Genomic DNA, 14,323 nt, shown 5'->3' with positions numbered 1-14,323 from the left:
ATTTTAGAATAATTTAACCAGCAATTTTTTATTGCAATCATTACCCGAGCACAACCATATTTGTAAAATAGCTAAAATGTAAAATGATACTTTTTAGTTTATTTTATAACAACCGCAACCAAATTCTGTGAAAATACAGATATGAAAACGGTCTTTGTCATTTTCTACTTCATGGCATTACTATAAACTACTAAATTGCTGGTCATTCATCCGAACATTCGTCAAACACTTTCTCAATTCAGTAATTCTCTTCTAAAAATATTTACTACATGCTATTAGGTTGGTGCAAACGTAATTGCGGTTTTTTGGCAAGAACTGTAATTACTTTTGCACCAATCTAACACAATTTGCCAAGTACCGAACTAGGCCCTGGGGACACAGTTCCTGCCCTCAGGAAGTTTTTGCTGTAGTCATTCATCACCTCAGCACTGGTTTGACCCAAGATCCTAGGGTACACAAACATATGCAGATTTTTTTTGTTTGCACTTAATAATCATAACCTCCCCTTAAAACTATACTATTTGAGAATTGGAAGGAGAGAGTCCTTTTATTTGCTGAGCAACTTAAGATTTTGGAGTGGGAACTTAAAAAAGCTGAACTGCTCTAAATTATAAAAGGAAATGAATGTAAATTCTCATGAAATATCCAAACAGTGAGAGATGGGAGTCTGGCCACTGGATGGGAAAACATCCAAACAGTGAGGTGGGATGCTGACCACTGGGTGAGGGAAAAAATCCTAACAGGAACCCAAGATGACTGTGTAGCTAATAAAAAGATTTTGAAAGCCAAAGTGACCACTATGGTTACAGAGTTTCCTGCTCTGCAATGAGCATTATCACTCTTACCAAGGTCTTCAGGAAAGTCTCCATTACCCACAAGTGCTCGGTTTGGTGAGTTGTTTTGGTGGAAATGTATGAAATGGCTGAATTGAGCTTCCATAACAATATGGTAAATAAAAAGGCAACACATGTAGGAAGATGAGTCTAGAAAGCAGATGAGATCATGAGTATGTGATCCTCCCAAGAATTTTTAGAACTCTTCAGGAAACTTAGGGCTTCCACAAACTATGAAATTGTGTTTGAATCAAGTTTAACACCGATCTCAAACATGGAAGCTCCCGTTGACATGTAAACCCCATGAAATAGAAGTTTTGTGTTTCCTTTTCACTACTATATACGAAAAATGAGGCACAGAGTGGGAAGAAAAGACAGATACGGACTTTATGTATTGTATCAAGCATACAATAAAGAAGAAAGAACCTCACAGATTAAATAACTTACACAAAAACACAGAGATGGTAAGTGGTAGAACCAAGATTCCTACCAAAATCCAATTCTGAGCCAATCTCTATATACCATATCACAGTGTTAGCCAGATATCCACCAAAATCTATTTTTCCCTTCCATAGCTAAGAAGTGGCTACCATCCAGGTGTGGTCATGTGACTAATTCTCACCAATAAAATGTGAGAAGAAGTAATGTGTGCGTCTTCAAGGCAAAGTTTTAAAGAAGTGAGAATACCTTAACTTTTGCCAGCTGGTTGCAGATAACAATAAAGCAACAGGGATGGCAAAACTTTCCAAGAGTAGGACCCTAGGATCCTGAATCACAGAGTGGAATAATGTCTGCAGTTGTTAAATAAGCAAGAAATAAGCTTTGTTGTGTTTGAGGCATTGTACATTAAACTGTGTGGGCTATTTTTATGGCAATTTAGGCTACTCTAACCAAAAGAGTAATTGATATCCATAGTGTAGTAATGATTTTTTTTTTTAATGTGGAGCATTGTCTTAGCAGTTGTCTGGCAGGTGGCATAAAAACAGGTAACGTGAGCTGAAGGGGAAGGCCCAAAACTTTCTGAGACAGGGTTTCCTAATTTTGTCCTATATGCCATTTCCCAAACTTTTTGGTGACCTTTTTATACTTTATACTTTAAACAATTATTTTTATACTTTAAAAAATTACTGCCAGGCACAGTGGCTCTCGCCTGTAATCCCAGCACTTTGGGAGGCTGAGGCGGGCAGATCATGAGGTCAGGAGTTTGAGACCAGCCTGGCCAATATGGTGAAACCCCGTCTCTACTAAAAATTCAAAAATTAGCCGGGCACAGTGGCGCACACCTGTAATTCCAGCTACTCGGGAGTCTGAGGCAGAAGAATAGCTTGAACCTGGGAGGCAGAGGTTGCAGTGAGCCAAGATCGTGCCACTGCACTCCAACCTGAGTAACAGAGCAAGACTCTGTCTCAAAAAAAATAAAATAAAAAAAATTACTGAAGACTTCAAAAGGATTTTGTTTCTGTAGTTTATTTCTATCAACATTTATTGTAATCAAAATTAAAACTGAGAAATTTTTGAAATATCTATCTATCTTAAAATAAGCATAATAAGACCATTCTTGGTAAAATAAATAACATTTTTATGAAAATAATTATATTTCTAAAAGGCAAAAAAAAATGATGAGAAGAATGGCATTGTTTTTACATTTTTGTTAAGTCCCTTTCCTGTCTGCCTTAACAGAAGACAACTGGATCCTCTATGTTCTTCTGCATTCCATCTCTTGCAATACGTTGTTTGGATTGAAGTATATAGAGAATATCCAGCCTCACACAGATATGTAGTTTAAAAATTGAGAAGCTAAAAAATGAAGATTTTAATAGATGCTTGTGAATATTCTTTTATACTAAACTAACATTCCACAAGTAGTAGTTTCTTAAAGGATAGTTAAAATTTGGAATTTGGAACCAGATCAATGAATATTTCATACTCAGTTACATTAAAATCCATTGGTTTTCTAGCACTTTGAATGTATCTTTTGCTCGCACATAATTTCATAACATCATACATTGGTCATTTAGAAAGTATTGGTTCCTAAGCTATGAAGATCTTCCAAATATTGATACATTTGCTTATATAATATTTTTAAAATCACATTTATTAATACACCACTGATCTTATAAGAAAAAGTCTTTTTAGAGACAGGGTCTTTCTCTGTCACCCAAGCTGGAGTGCAGTGGCTTGATCATACCTTGCTGTAGTCTCAAACTCCTGTGCTCAAGTGATCCTCCCACCTCAGCCTCCTAAAGTGCTGAGATTACAGGAATGAGCCACCTCGCCTGGCCAAGAAAAAGTCTTTATGTATGGAGAGGTTGTCAAACTTACAGTAGAGAATTTAAGTTATCCAAGATTCTAATTTTTGCAGGAACACTTGAATTTTATCATTGGCCACAAATAAGGTCAATTGTTTCCCTGGAAGTGATAAGCTCATTTCATTCATTTTTAAGAAAAATTTCTGCCAAATATCAAAGTCTGAATAACATTATTTTGTTATTCTTTCAAGTAAAAATGGTCTTCCATGAAAAAAAAACAGCTAGTTTTGACCATAACTCAGACAATCACAAAATTATTTTCCTTGAAACAGGCCATTATTAATACTTCAATGCAGCAGTGTTTTACGGTATATTATTTCATTGTTCAAAATATTGAAATGACTAGTACTGAAGGTTTAAGATTTAATGAAAAGAATAAATTTTACTCCTTCATCCAGGAGATTCTTAAATGAAACTGGAATCTTTTCCAGTGAATGCATGCATGTGAAGAATAGATGATTAGTAAAGCAGTTTGGTGCCCCACCCTTGATTTGTGTCAATTTGCCAGCTGTTTTAGCCACTGCATTGTTTTACATTGTTGTGTAACAAACTACTACAAATTTAGTGGCTTAAAATAACACCCATTTATTAGCTAAAAGTCTGATAAGTCAGGAGGCTGGGTGCTGCATGCTAAGGGTCTCACAGGCATAAATCAAGATGTCAGCCAGGCTGCATTCTCATTTGGAGCTTAGAGTCCTCTTATAGTTGATGCAGAATGCATTTTCTTGCAGTTGTAAGACTGAGGTCCTCATTTCTTTGCTGGATGTCAGCTGGGGCCACTCAGCAATTAGATATTGCCCACATTCTTATCCTCCGTCTTTTAAGCCAACAGTAGAGAACTTCCTAACACATCTAAGCTCCCTTGTGCCTCAAATCTCTTTTATAACAGCAAGAAGCCAGTTCCTTTTAAGGATTCACCTGATTAGATCAGGCCCAACGAATAATCTCCTTTTTCATTAACTCAAAGTCAACTGATGAGTAAACTAGGCACGGGAGTGATATACCGTCATATTCACAGATTTCCTCCACACTCAAGGTTAGGGGGCTCTTCAAAGTGTGCGTGCCAGGGAGCAGTGGCCTTGGGGCCTTCCTAGAATTCTGCCTACCGTAGCTGCCATTGCTACTGCACCATCGATGAAAATGTCAAGCATAGCAGCGGAGATACATAATGTTTCACTATTATTGTGAAAACAGTTCTGACCTTGTAGTTCCTCTGAAAATATTTCAAGTTCCTCCAGAAATCTAGCCTTCTAGATGATTTCTAAGGTATCTGCATCTATTCCATGAAGGTGAATATAGGATAAAGATTTTTTTCCATTTTACCCATTATGTTTGATAAATATTGGCAAATATGTTAAATATATAGTGTTGGTTATACAATATTGCCCTACTTGTTAAATAGATGCTTTGTAATTTAGTAAATTTAAAGGAAAAAATACTAGTCAAGTTGTTAGATAAAATGATACCCAGATAGCTGGTAAAACATTATTTCTGGGTGTATTTGTGAGGGTGTTTCAGGAAAAGATTAGTATTTGAATCAATAGACTGGGTAAGAAGATAGCCCTCATCAATGTGGGCAGGCATCATCCAATCCCTTGAGGACTCAAATAGAACAAAAAGGCAAGGAAGGGTGAACTTGCTATCTTCTGGTGGTGGGCCATCCATCTTCTGCTCTGGAAAATCAGAACTCCTAGCTTTGGGACCTTTTGACTTCAGAATTTATACCAGCAGCACACCATGTTCCAAGGTCTTGAGACTCAGGCTGAATTACACCACCAGCTTTCCTGGTTTTCCAACTTGCAGACAGCATAACTTGGGACTTCTTGGCCTCCATAATTGGGTGAGGAAATTCCCATAACAAATATCCTCTTAAATATTTATTTATACCCTGTTGATTCTGTTTCTCTGGAGAGCCCTGAGTAATACAGATCATTTAATATTCCTTCAAATTTATATGTTGAAACTTAATCCCTATCGTGATATTATTAAAAGGTAGGGCTTTGGAAGGTGATTAGGTCTTGAGGATGGAGCCCTCATGAATCAAATTAGTGCCCCTGTAAAAGAGGACCAATAGAGCTTGTTCACCCCTTCCATTATATGAGGACATATAGAAGGCATCACCTAGGAGGAACAGGCTCCCACCAGATACCAAATCTGCTGTTGCTTTGATCTTGGATTTCCCAGCCTCCATAACTGTGAGCAATAAGTTTCTATTATTTACAAATTACCCAGTCCAAGATATTTTATTGTAGCAGCCCAAACAAACAAAGACGATTCTCTACACTGAAATCTGATATTTACCTCAAATACTTAAATATATTTACCTTTACACATTTTTATGACTCTTTGTGGAATAAAAGGAATTCTATTTCTTCTGACTCTCTTTCTAAATCAGTCAGTAATTGCTAACTGTTCCTTCTGGGTCTAGCAGGGAGCCAATTCTTCCTGCAGTCAATTGCACTGAAAATATACAGGGAAAGAGGAAGGAGATATGTAAGCAAGGGTGTTAGTCTTCATTGGTTTCTAACATGTAGCTGAAGATATTTTTTATATCTGCACTCTTGTCACCCCCTCCCCCAATGATGTCCTATGATGTTATCATTGAAGAAGTGGGAGAATACCCAGAAATGTGATAATGTGGGCATGATTTTCACCTGTCTCCTCTAACAAGAGAACAAGAAACAATCATTAGAAGATAACAAAATCAAGGGGTAGCATTCCTTCTTGCAAATAATATTTCTGTGTTTCATTATGAGAACATCCAGACAGTATATTTAAATAGTTTAAATCTTAACTTTTCTATCAGATAATAAATATCATTTATTTGAATGTTAGTGCTTCATTATGTTTTAAAAATTACATATCAAAGTCACTTTTAAATACATTTAAGTATTAATAGCAAGGATTGCAGGAAATACAGCAAAGACTGTATTCAAACTGTTATTAAAACTGTTATCTTTTAAAATAAAAAGAATACCAGTCTTGGGAGGAATATATATATATATATATATATTCTTAAAAGTATAGCTTTGTGATGCTGTACAAGTACTTTTTAGTAAAAATTGTTTCTAGTTCTTGAGCTGTGGTTATAGTTACCTTATGTAAGAATTCTCTTAAGTAGTCACATTGCTTTTTGACCGTACATCTTACTGGTATTGAGGGAAAAGAGAACATGTGAAAAAGTAGATACTGGCTCCCAAAGTTTCTGCACATCACTTCCATTTACCTTTCATTGGCCAAGCAAACCACATGGTCACATCTTACTGCAAGTGGGCAGGTAAGTGAAACCATACCTTGTACACAAAAGGTGAGTTATAGAATATTTGAGAGTAACCCTAGTAACTACCACACTTTCTAATGTTTCTCTTTTTCTTTTTCTTTTTTTTTCTTTTTGAGACAGAGTCTCACTCTGTCCCCCAGGCTGGAGTGCAGTGGCACAATCTTGACTCACTACAACCTCCACTTCCCGGGTTCAAGTGATTCTCCTGCCTCAGCCTCCTGAGTAGCTGGGATTACAGGCACCTGCCACCACACCCAGCTAATTTTTTTGGTTTTTTGTATTTTTAGTAGAGAATACACCAGTTTCACCATGTTGGCCAGGCTGGTCTTGAACTCCTGACCTCAAATGATCTGCCTACCTTGGCCTCCCAAAGTGAAGAGATTATAGGCATGAGCCACCGTGCCTGGCCTAATGTTTTTCAAATTAACAAAAACAAATACTGCTTCACTAAGCCAAAGAAGCTGTGCTCTTTCTTTTTACTCTGCCACAGTAACCAGTAGTGTTCTAGACAGTGGCTGCACTAATGACAAAGAACAGAGTCTCCAGCTGACCTTTAACAGGTAGTATGAACAAGCAAGAAAATTGTGTTGTCCTCAACAACTGAGCTTCTTTGGCTTCTTTGTTGCTCTGGCCTAATCTAACCCATCCAGACTTCTGCAGATAGGGCATGCACTTGGCTTCAGCCATGGTACCCACCTACCCCGTTGTCTTACACCCAGGCCATTTCACTAATTTACATGGTCTACCAGGCCCAAAAGGCTTGCAGGTTTGTAAAGCTGCTTTATGTAATGCTGTCTTAATGAAATTTGTTGCACTTACACCAGATTATGTGATAATTACTTGTCTGGTAAAGATATTGCTTTTAATTTTGCCATTCAGGATAAAAAAGTATGCTAGTAAAACTGTGTTAAGGCCCTTAATATAAACAATTTCAAATCACATTACTAGTTAATCTTTTCCTCTATGATGATGCTAGTTATACATTTAGATGGTTTGAAGTTGCTTTCTTTACTGTGTGCATTATCTAGCTTATCTGTTATTTGCAGGAAGTAGTCTTGCCTGAATGTCCTTTAATGTCATTTAAAAAGAAATACGTACCCACTGATGTAAATGCTGAAGGGAAAGCTTTTTACACCATGGCAACTATTAATAAAGATGTTCACATAAATTGTTGAGTCTTTTTTTCCATCTCCATTTTTATTTACATAAAATGATTGTTGAATAACATGCAATTAAATCAGAACTTTCTGCTTCACAGCCTGGCATCTTTTTGGATAGATTCTGTGATAAAATAACTCTCTGACATCACAGCTTGTTGCTATGAGAATAGAACATCAAAAATTAGGCAGTGTCAACCTACTCAGCAGGGTAGCTCAGGATAAATTTAAAGTAAAAGAGATCAGGTTACAATTCTCATTTTTCAAGCATTGGCTTGGCACCTTTAATCCCTAAAGATATCTAATCAAATACGAAATTTGAGATTTTACACCTTTAAGGAACACATTCACTGAAACTACTGGAAATTATTCCTATGCTGTGTCTAGTGTTCTTGTCAGGAATGGGGCTGTGAAGTCAATGAAGACACGTTTGGGGAAGTCCTTTGTCAGAGAAAAGAGAGGAATCTCTAAGGTATCCATGTGATGCAGTTGCTTCCATCGGGTTGAAATATAGCTCCTGATGGTTCAGCAACCTACAAACTAAAAATTTAAGTTATTTGAGCTTCCTTCTGGGGAAACTCTGGGAGCTTGATAGTTGTTTTAAGGCTCAAAAAATCAGTGTTTTTTGGTCCAGGCACATGGTTTATTTAACAATAAAATTATTTTCCAAACTTAGTAGGCTTTCGAATGTATTTGCTTTTAGTTCCATATTCTAAATTCCATATTCTAGTTATTTCCTATATATGATTCCAAAGAATGATCTTTTTGCTTACTCATACCCAAGTCCCCCTCTCTCAACTTGATGGGTATCCTGAGGCTATATGAAACAATAGGTTTAAACGGCAAGGTTAAAACCCTTAGTCTGAGCTTTACCCAAAGATTCTATCACTTTTATTAACTGAGAGATCTTTCAGTGCCTTTATCACTTACAACTTTTTTTCAGTCTTATCTCTTATTACTTAGAAACTAGGAGCAGTCAGCCTCTCTAAACCTGAGAGACCCTTGATCTCTAGGATTCCTCAGTATCCTTCTATTCTTTCTGGAAGATTAACCAGCTCTCATCAGAGCTCATATTTTTCTTGTAAATCTTGCTAAAGGCAGACAACTGTAGCCAATACACACTATCACTCTGCCTCTAGCTATTTTCCATAGAGTTAGATTCTTACTAGGTTAATGGTCTCTCTTCTACTTCTCATTGGGAAGTATCACTGAATATTTTAACAAGGCATGTTAAAAATCTCTAGATAATCAACCTACTAATCTGTTTCTTTGCTGCCTGTTGCATGACCACTAATTCTATACAACATATTTTAAGTTTCTGCATGCAGCATCTTCATTCTAAGCACCAACATCTATATTCATGTGGTAGTTGTTACTGTCATCTAACAAATGTTTCTGGCTTTCCTCTTTCTTGGCACTTCTCCGCTCTTTTTAAAGATAGGTATGATCTTATGACTTGCTTTGATCTCTGAAATCTATGTAGAAGTAATATATCACATATACACAAAAATACTAAACGCCAATATGATTTACCATAGTTCTTTCTCACTGTCATGGTAATCATGGAAGCATAAATCAAGACAGTGTTTTTATCAGTTTAGCTCCCTGAGTAGCTTGGATGGGTAGGGTTTTCTCAATAACCTACCACGAACAAGAAATAAACTTTTGTTACGATAAGCATAGTGATATTTTAGTGTTTGTTACTGTAACATAGCCTAGTCCTGACAGATACAATCAAGGTATGGCAAACGTTATTATAACAACCCCCAAATTTCAGTGGCTTAACGTAAGAATTTTATTTCTCCTTCTTCTGACAATTCAATGTGGTACTTGGCAGGCAGTCTTCCATGTGATGATTCAGGAATCTAGACCTATTCCATTTTGTAGCTCCACTATCCCCTAGGACTATGGAATTATCTCCTGGGTTATTTAAATCTGGTTGATTGACAGGTAAAGAGTGAAGTCTCATGCAGCAGATGTATATGGCAATTCCTGACTTCAAGGGTGGATAGGAAATGTTTTGTTTTTTTTGTTTGTTTGTTTGTTTTTTGTCAGAGTCTTGCTCTGTCACCCAGGTTGGAGTGCAATGGTGCAATCTCAGCTCATTGCAACCTCCACCTCCCGGGTTCAAGTGAGGGAAATGTAATCTTTATTGTACCCTGGAATAGGAAAGAATGACTTTATCAACACATATCATTCTCTGACTAAGTGTGCTTTACAAATCTGGTGTTCCATTGAATGAACCTATAGGTCAATCGGGCCTTGACTTGTTTTTAAAGTGTATGCAGGGCAGATTTTATGCACATGCAACTTGTGCAATGTCACAGGGCATCATGCTTAAAAAGGCCTCTCAGTTGGTTTGATGATGGGTCCTCACAGAGCACTACATAATTTTTTTAACAAGAGGCTCTGCATTTTCATTTTGTTCTGAGTCCCACAAATTATGCATCTGGTCCTAAGTATAGGTTGTATCAGAAGGATGTGCAGTGGAAGCCTTAACTGCATATGAAATGTGAAAGAGTTCAGTGAAGTTATCTAAGAATTCTCTACTTGTTTAGCCTATAGAGAGATAATATCTTGAAAGAATTGTTATATTTTGTTCTATTTTTGTTTTCTCTATATTCTTGCTCATGATCATTATAGTCAGTGTCATTATCTAAAAGAAAATTATAAACTGTAAATCAGAAATGGAAAGAAATATAGTTGGCTTACTATTTACTTTAAAAACATACTCTTGAAATACCACAATATTTTAAAAAATGCTATTTAAACCAAAACTGTTGATTCTCATAAGCTATGTTTTCTTTATAAACAAGAAGGCTTTTGCAAATTACAAGTTCAGGCCCTGAAAGAGGAAGATCACAGATGCTATGCCATAACAATTGAAGGTCATCTTGGCTAGAAATAGAGTTCAAAAGTTGGATAGGGCTTGAACTTGGAAGAGGTCTTTGTTGTGAAACTAGAGATGAGGGAATAGGCCTCTGAGGAACACATAATGAGGAGCAGCATCAGCATCAAGAGACACCAACACTATCACTGTCAGAGACGAGAGCAAGGTGGGTGCCAAATAAATGTCCGACTCTTTGCAGACCATTAACTGCCTTTCTAAGAATAACTGCCTCTGCTGCAATCATGTGAACTGATCTTCTCTGTGCTGAGTGGTCCTCACCAGTGGCTTTCCATAACTGCTCACATGTTACCTATGGATTTTCCAAAGAAGTCATGCATAGCCATGGCCCAAGAATTTGCTGAATCCCATTCAAACTGCCCAGTGTAGATGACCCTATTTTCAATGGCTGAAAACATGGTTATTGTTAATATCCCTGCAACTAAAGATGAAGTCATCAAAAAGGTGGTAGTGATATAGATAAGAAAGCTCCATTATCAGAATTTGGGTGAGGATAAAAACCAAGACAACTCACTCCTTTTACGTATCTCCTTCATTGCAACGCCTTCCTTTGATTCTGTAAAATGCTTCAAAATATATCCTCTTGCTAAATATAGAATTTGATTTTTGTTTAATGTACTCTAAAGACCTCAACTGATACGTGGTTTTGTACCCTTTAGCAATTTTGATAACATTGTTATCAAAACATTTATTTAACATTTATTTTCTCATTTTTTTCAACACCACAATGCTGTGATGTCAGACAAGGCAAGTATTATTATTTTATCTTACAAAGAACAAAACTGAGTCACAACATGGTTAAATGTTTTATCAAGTTTGCAAAGTTAAAAAGGAAATTCATCAGTCTAATGGTGGTTCTTATTTTAACAAACCCTTTACACTATGCCACTTTCCAATGTTAAGTCTTGGAAGTGTATAGTGTGATAAATGCCTATTCAGCAAATACCAAAATTAGGAAACTACACTTAAGAACATACCCAGTGCAAGCTGTCTCCATTCAATTTTGGTCTTCTCTACCATCTCATCCAAACAAAAAGAGAGTTCTCTTCAGCAAGTCATCAAAACAATACAACCTCTGCCAGTAATTTTGGTTCTGTGAACTACTTTTTTTTAAGACAGAGTCTTGCTTTGTCACCTAGGCTGGAGTGCAGTGCCATGATCTTGGCTCACTGCAACCTCCACCTCCCAGGTTCAAGAGATTCTCCTGCCTCAGCCTCCGCAGAGCTGAGATTACAGGCATGCGCCACCACGCCCGGCTAATTTTTGTATCTTTAGTAGGAACAGAGTTTTGTCCATGTTGGCCAGACTGGTCTCGAACTCCTTGCCTCAAGTGATCCACTCACCTCGGCCTCCCAAAGTCCTGGGATTACAGGCATGAGCCACGGCACCTGGCCTGAACTACTTTTCTTCATTTGGGGTACATATTCACATATGGGAAAGCAAATCAGGTGTACTGCTTAATACAATTTCCCACCTGAGCACTTGTTCTTAGTCTTCCTGGTTAGGTTTCAAGTTGAAATTGCTCTGTCCTTGGCCAGCTGATATACAAGACATTGCTTTCTACCTATGATCCCACATCCAGAATTTTTTCGATTCTTACCTTTCCAAAAGCATCCAACCTAGGCAGCTCCTTTGAATCATTACTCTTTCTTCCTGTACTTTACTATTTTCTAAATTTTATTTTTTCCCATTCACTGTGACTTTTTAATAATTTATTTTAGAAGAGTTTTAATTTTGTGGAAAAATTGCAATGATACTACAGAAACTGCTCATATATCCCACACCCAGTTTCCCCTATTACTAATGTCTTACATTGGTATGGTACATTTCCCACAATGAATGAACCAATATTGATTTTTTTTTTCAACTAGACTTCACTTTTTGATAGGAAATGGTAAGTTTCTAGAATATGTGGGATGAGAGATATTGCTGTGACCACCTTTGAAGAATATAAACTGCCACGGTGAGGTATAAGCTGAAACCAATCTTATGCTTTTTCCTACTGCCTCTTTAAAACTGCACTGTGAACTCATTTTTCCCTATGCTTTGAACAAAATTTCAGTCCAGTCTCTTACTGTAGTAGGCTGTATTTACCTTTACTTGATGTTTCTCTCTGCAGGGGGATCATACATTCCTGCCCTCGTGACCTCAGGTGTAGCCATATGACTTGAACAGGATTAATGTGTCACTTCGGGGCAGAATCCTCAAGAGGCAGCATGGGATTTACCATGTTGTTCTTTCTCTCTGTCATGATGACAAGCAGTGTTCTAGGTAGTGACTGTTCCCTCAGTCTAGATCCCAGAGTGAACCACAGTCACAGCCAAGCTAAAATTGATGTGGTCTGGCACACCGCTTTAGGGTGTAGGGGGTAAGTGTCATGTGTTACACAGTTCTGCACCTCTGGGCCTCTCTAAAACACAAGGAGTTCTTGTAGGCTATACTGAAATGCCAAAACAAAAAATCCTGTCTTGACATCCCATTTCTACTATTCTCTTAGAGTTATCTTTCTGTAGATTTATGTGCATGAAAACATTTCAGAAAATTTTTAACTACAATGCTGTTTTAAAAATCAACATTAATATATGGAAGGGAGAGCATCTGCACAGATCCAGGACCACAATAACGCGGCATCCCATAAATCACTTAATGTCTGTGTTGCTTGTTATTCTCCCAAGTAGGAAAGTCCTATTTTAAAGAGGTGTTAAGAAAAACTAAACTATGTACGGAATATATAAATTAACACATCTTAGAGTACTATTTTTGGATACCTTGACAGAGATATAACTATTTTAAAAGATGTTTTTCATGGCTTTGTTTTATAACTCCCAAAAGCTAAGGGATGTATATGTGACCAAGATGCCAAATAGATAATAGAACTGGGTCTCAGTCTTCTTGCTTAATTACTTCCCTATTCAGCATAAGTATTATTATTGTTGTTTTTTTCCTACATCCTTCTGTATAATAGTAGGATAAGATGAAAGATAAAGGAAATTATCTGCCTTTCCTAAAGTCACTTGAGTGTCTTCTTTGGATCTGAAACCAGAACACACAGGCTTCTGCTTGAGGTAACTACTTCATCCCTCCCTTCCTTGTCATTACCTTCATTTAAAAAATTCTACTGCACGCCAGAGAGCCACAGTACTCTGTCATAGTTTGTTTCTGTATTAGAGGCATCTTTTTGATGCAAAATCATGTACTATGTATGCATTGGTGAGCAGCGGAAAATATTAAAGCCACATAACTAGGCATTTCTATACTTCTCATAGGTAGCAAGGCTATCAATATGCCCCTTTGTGAGAGTAATTGGGATGATGAAGAGCCAACTTTTGGGAATGGAGTTTTGGCAGTAGCAGTAGGTACTGACCAGACAAGAGAATGAAGAGGTAGATGGATGAGAATGGTCTACATGACCCAGAAATTGCCATCCCTTTAATATCATTGACAAGCATAGATTATGAACCCTAATTCCTATTCATATAATTCTCTTAAATGCAGATAGCATACATAGAGTCATATATTGCTTATTGACAGGAATACATTCTGAGAAATGTGTCATTAGGCAGTTTCATCATTGTGTGAACATCACAGAGTGTACTTATACAAACCTGGATGATATAGCTTACTACACATCTAGGCTATACGGTACAGCCTATAGATCCTAGGCTACAAACCTGTACAGCATGGTACTGTACTGAATACTGTAGGCAATTTTAACACAATTGTATTTGTGTATCTCAACATACCTCAACATAGAAAAGGCACAGTAAAAATACAGTATTATAATCTTAAGGGACTATCATCGCATATGCACATCTTGACCAAAATGTCATTACGTG

Source organism: Homo sapiens, chromosome 11 (genome assembly GCF_000001405.40).
Source record: "Homo sapiens chromosome 11, GRCh38.p14 Primary Assembly".
Classification (NCBI taxonomy): domain Eukaryota; kingdom Metazoa; phylum Chordata; class Mammalia; order Primates; family Hominidae; genus Homo; species Homo sapiens.
The sequence above is the reverse complement of the archived record's forward strand: the minus strand, read 5'-3'. Positions refer to the sequence as shown.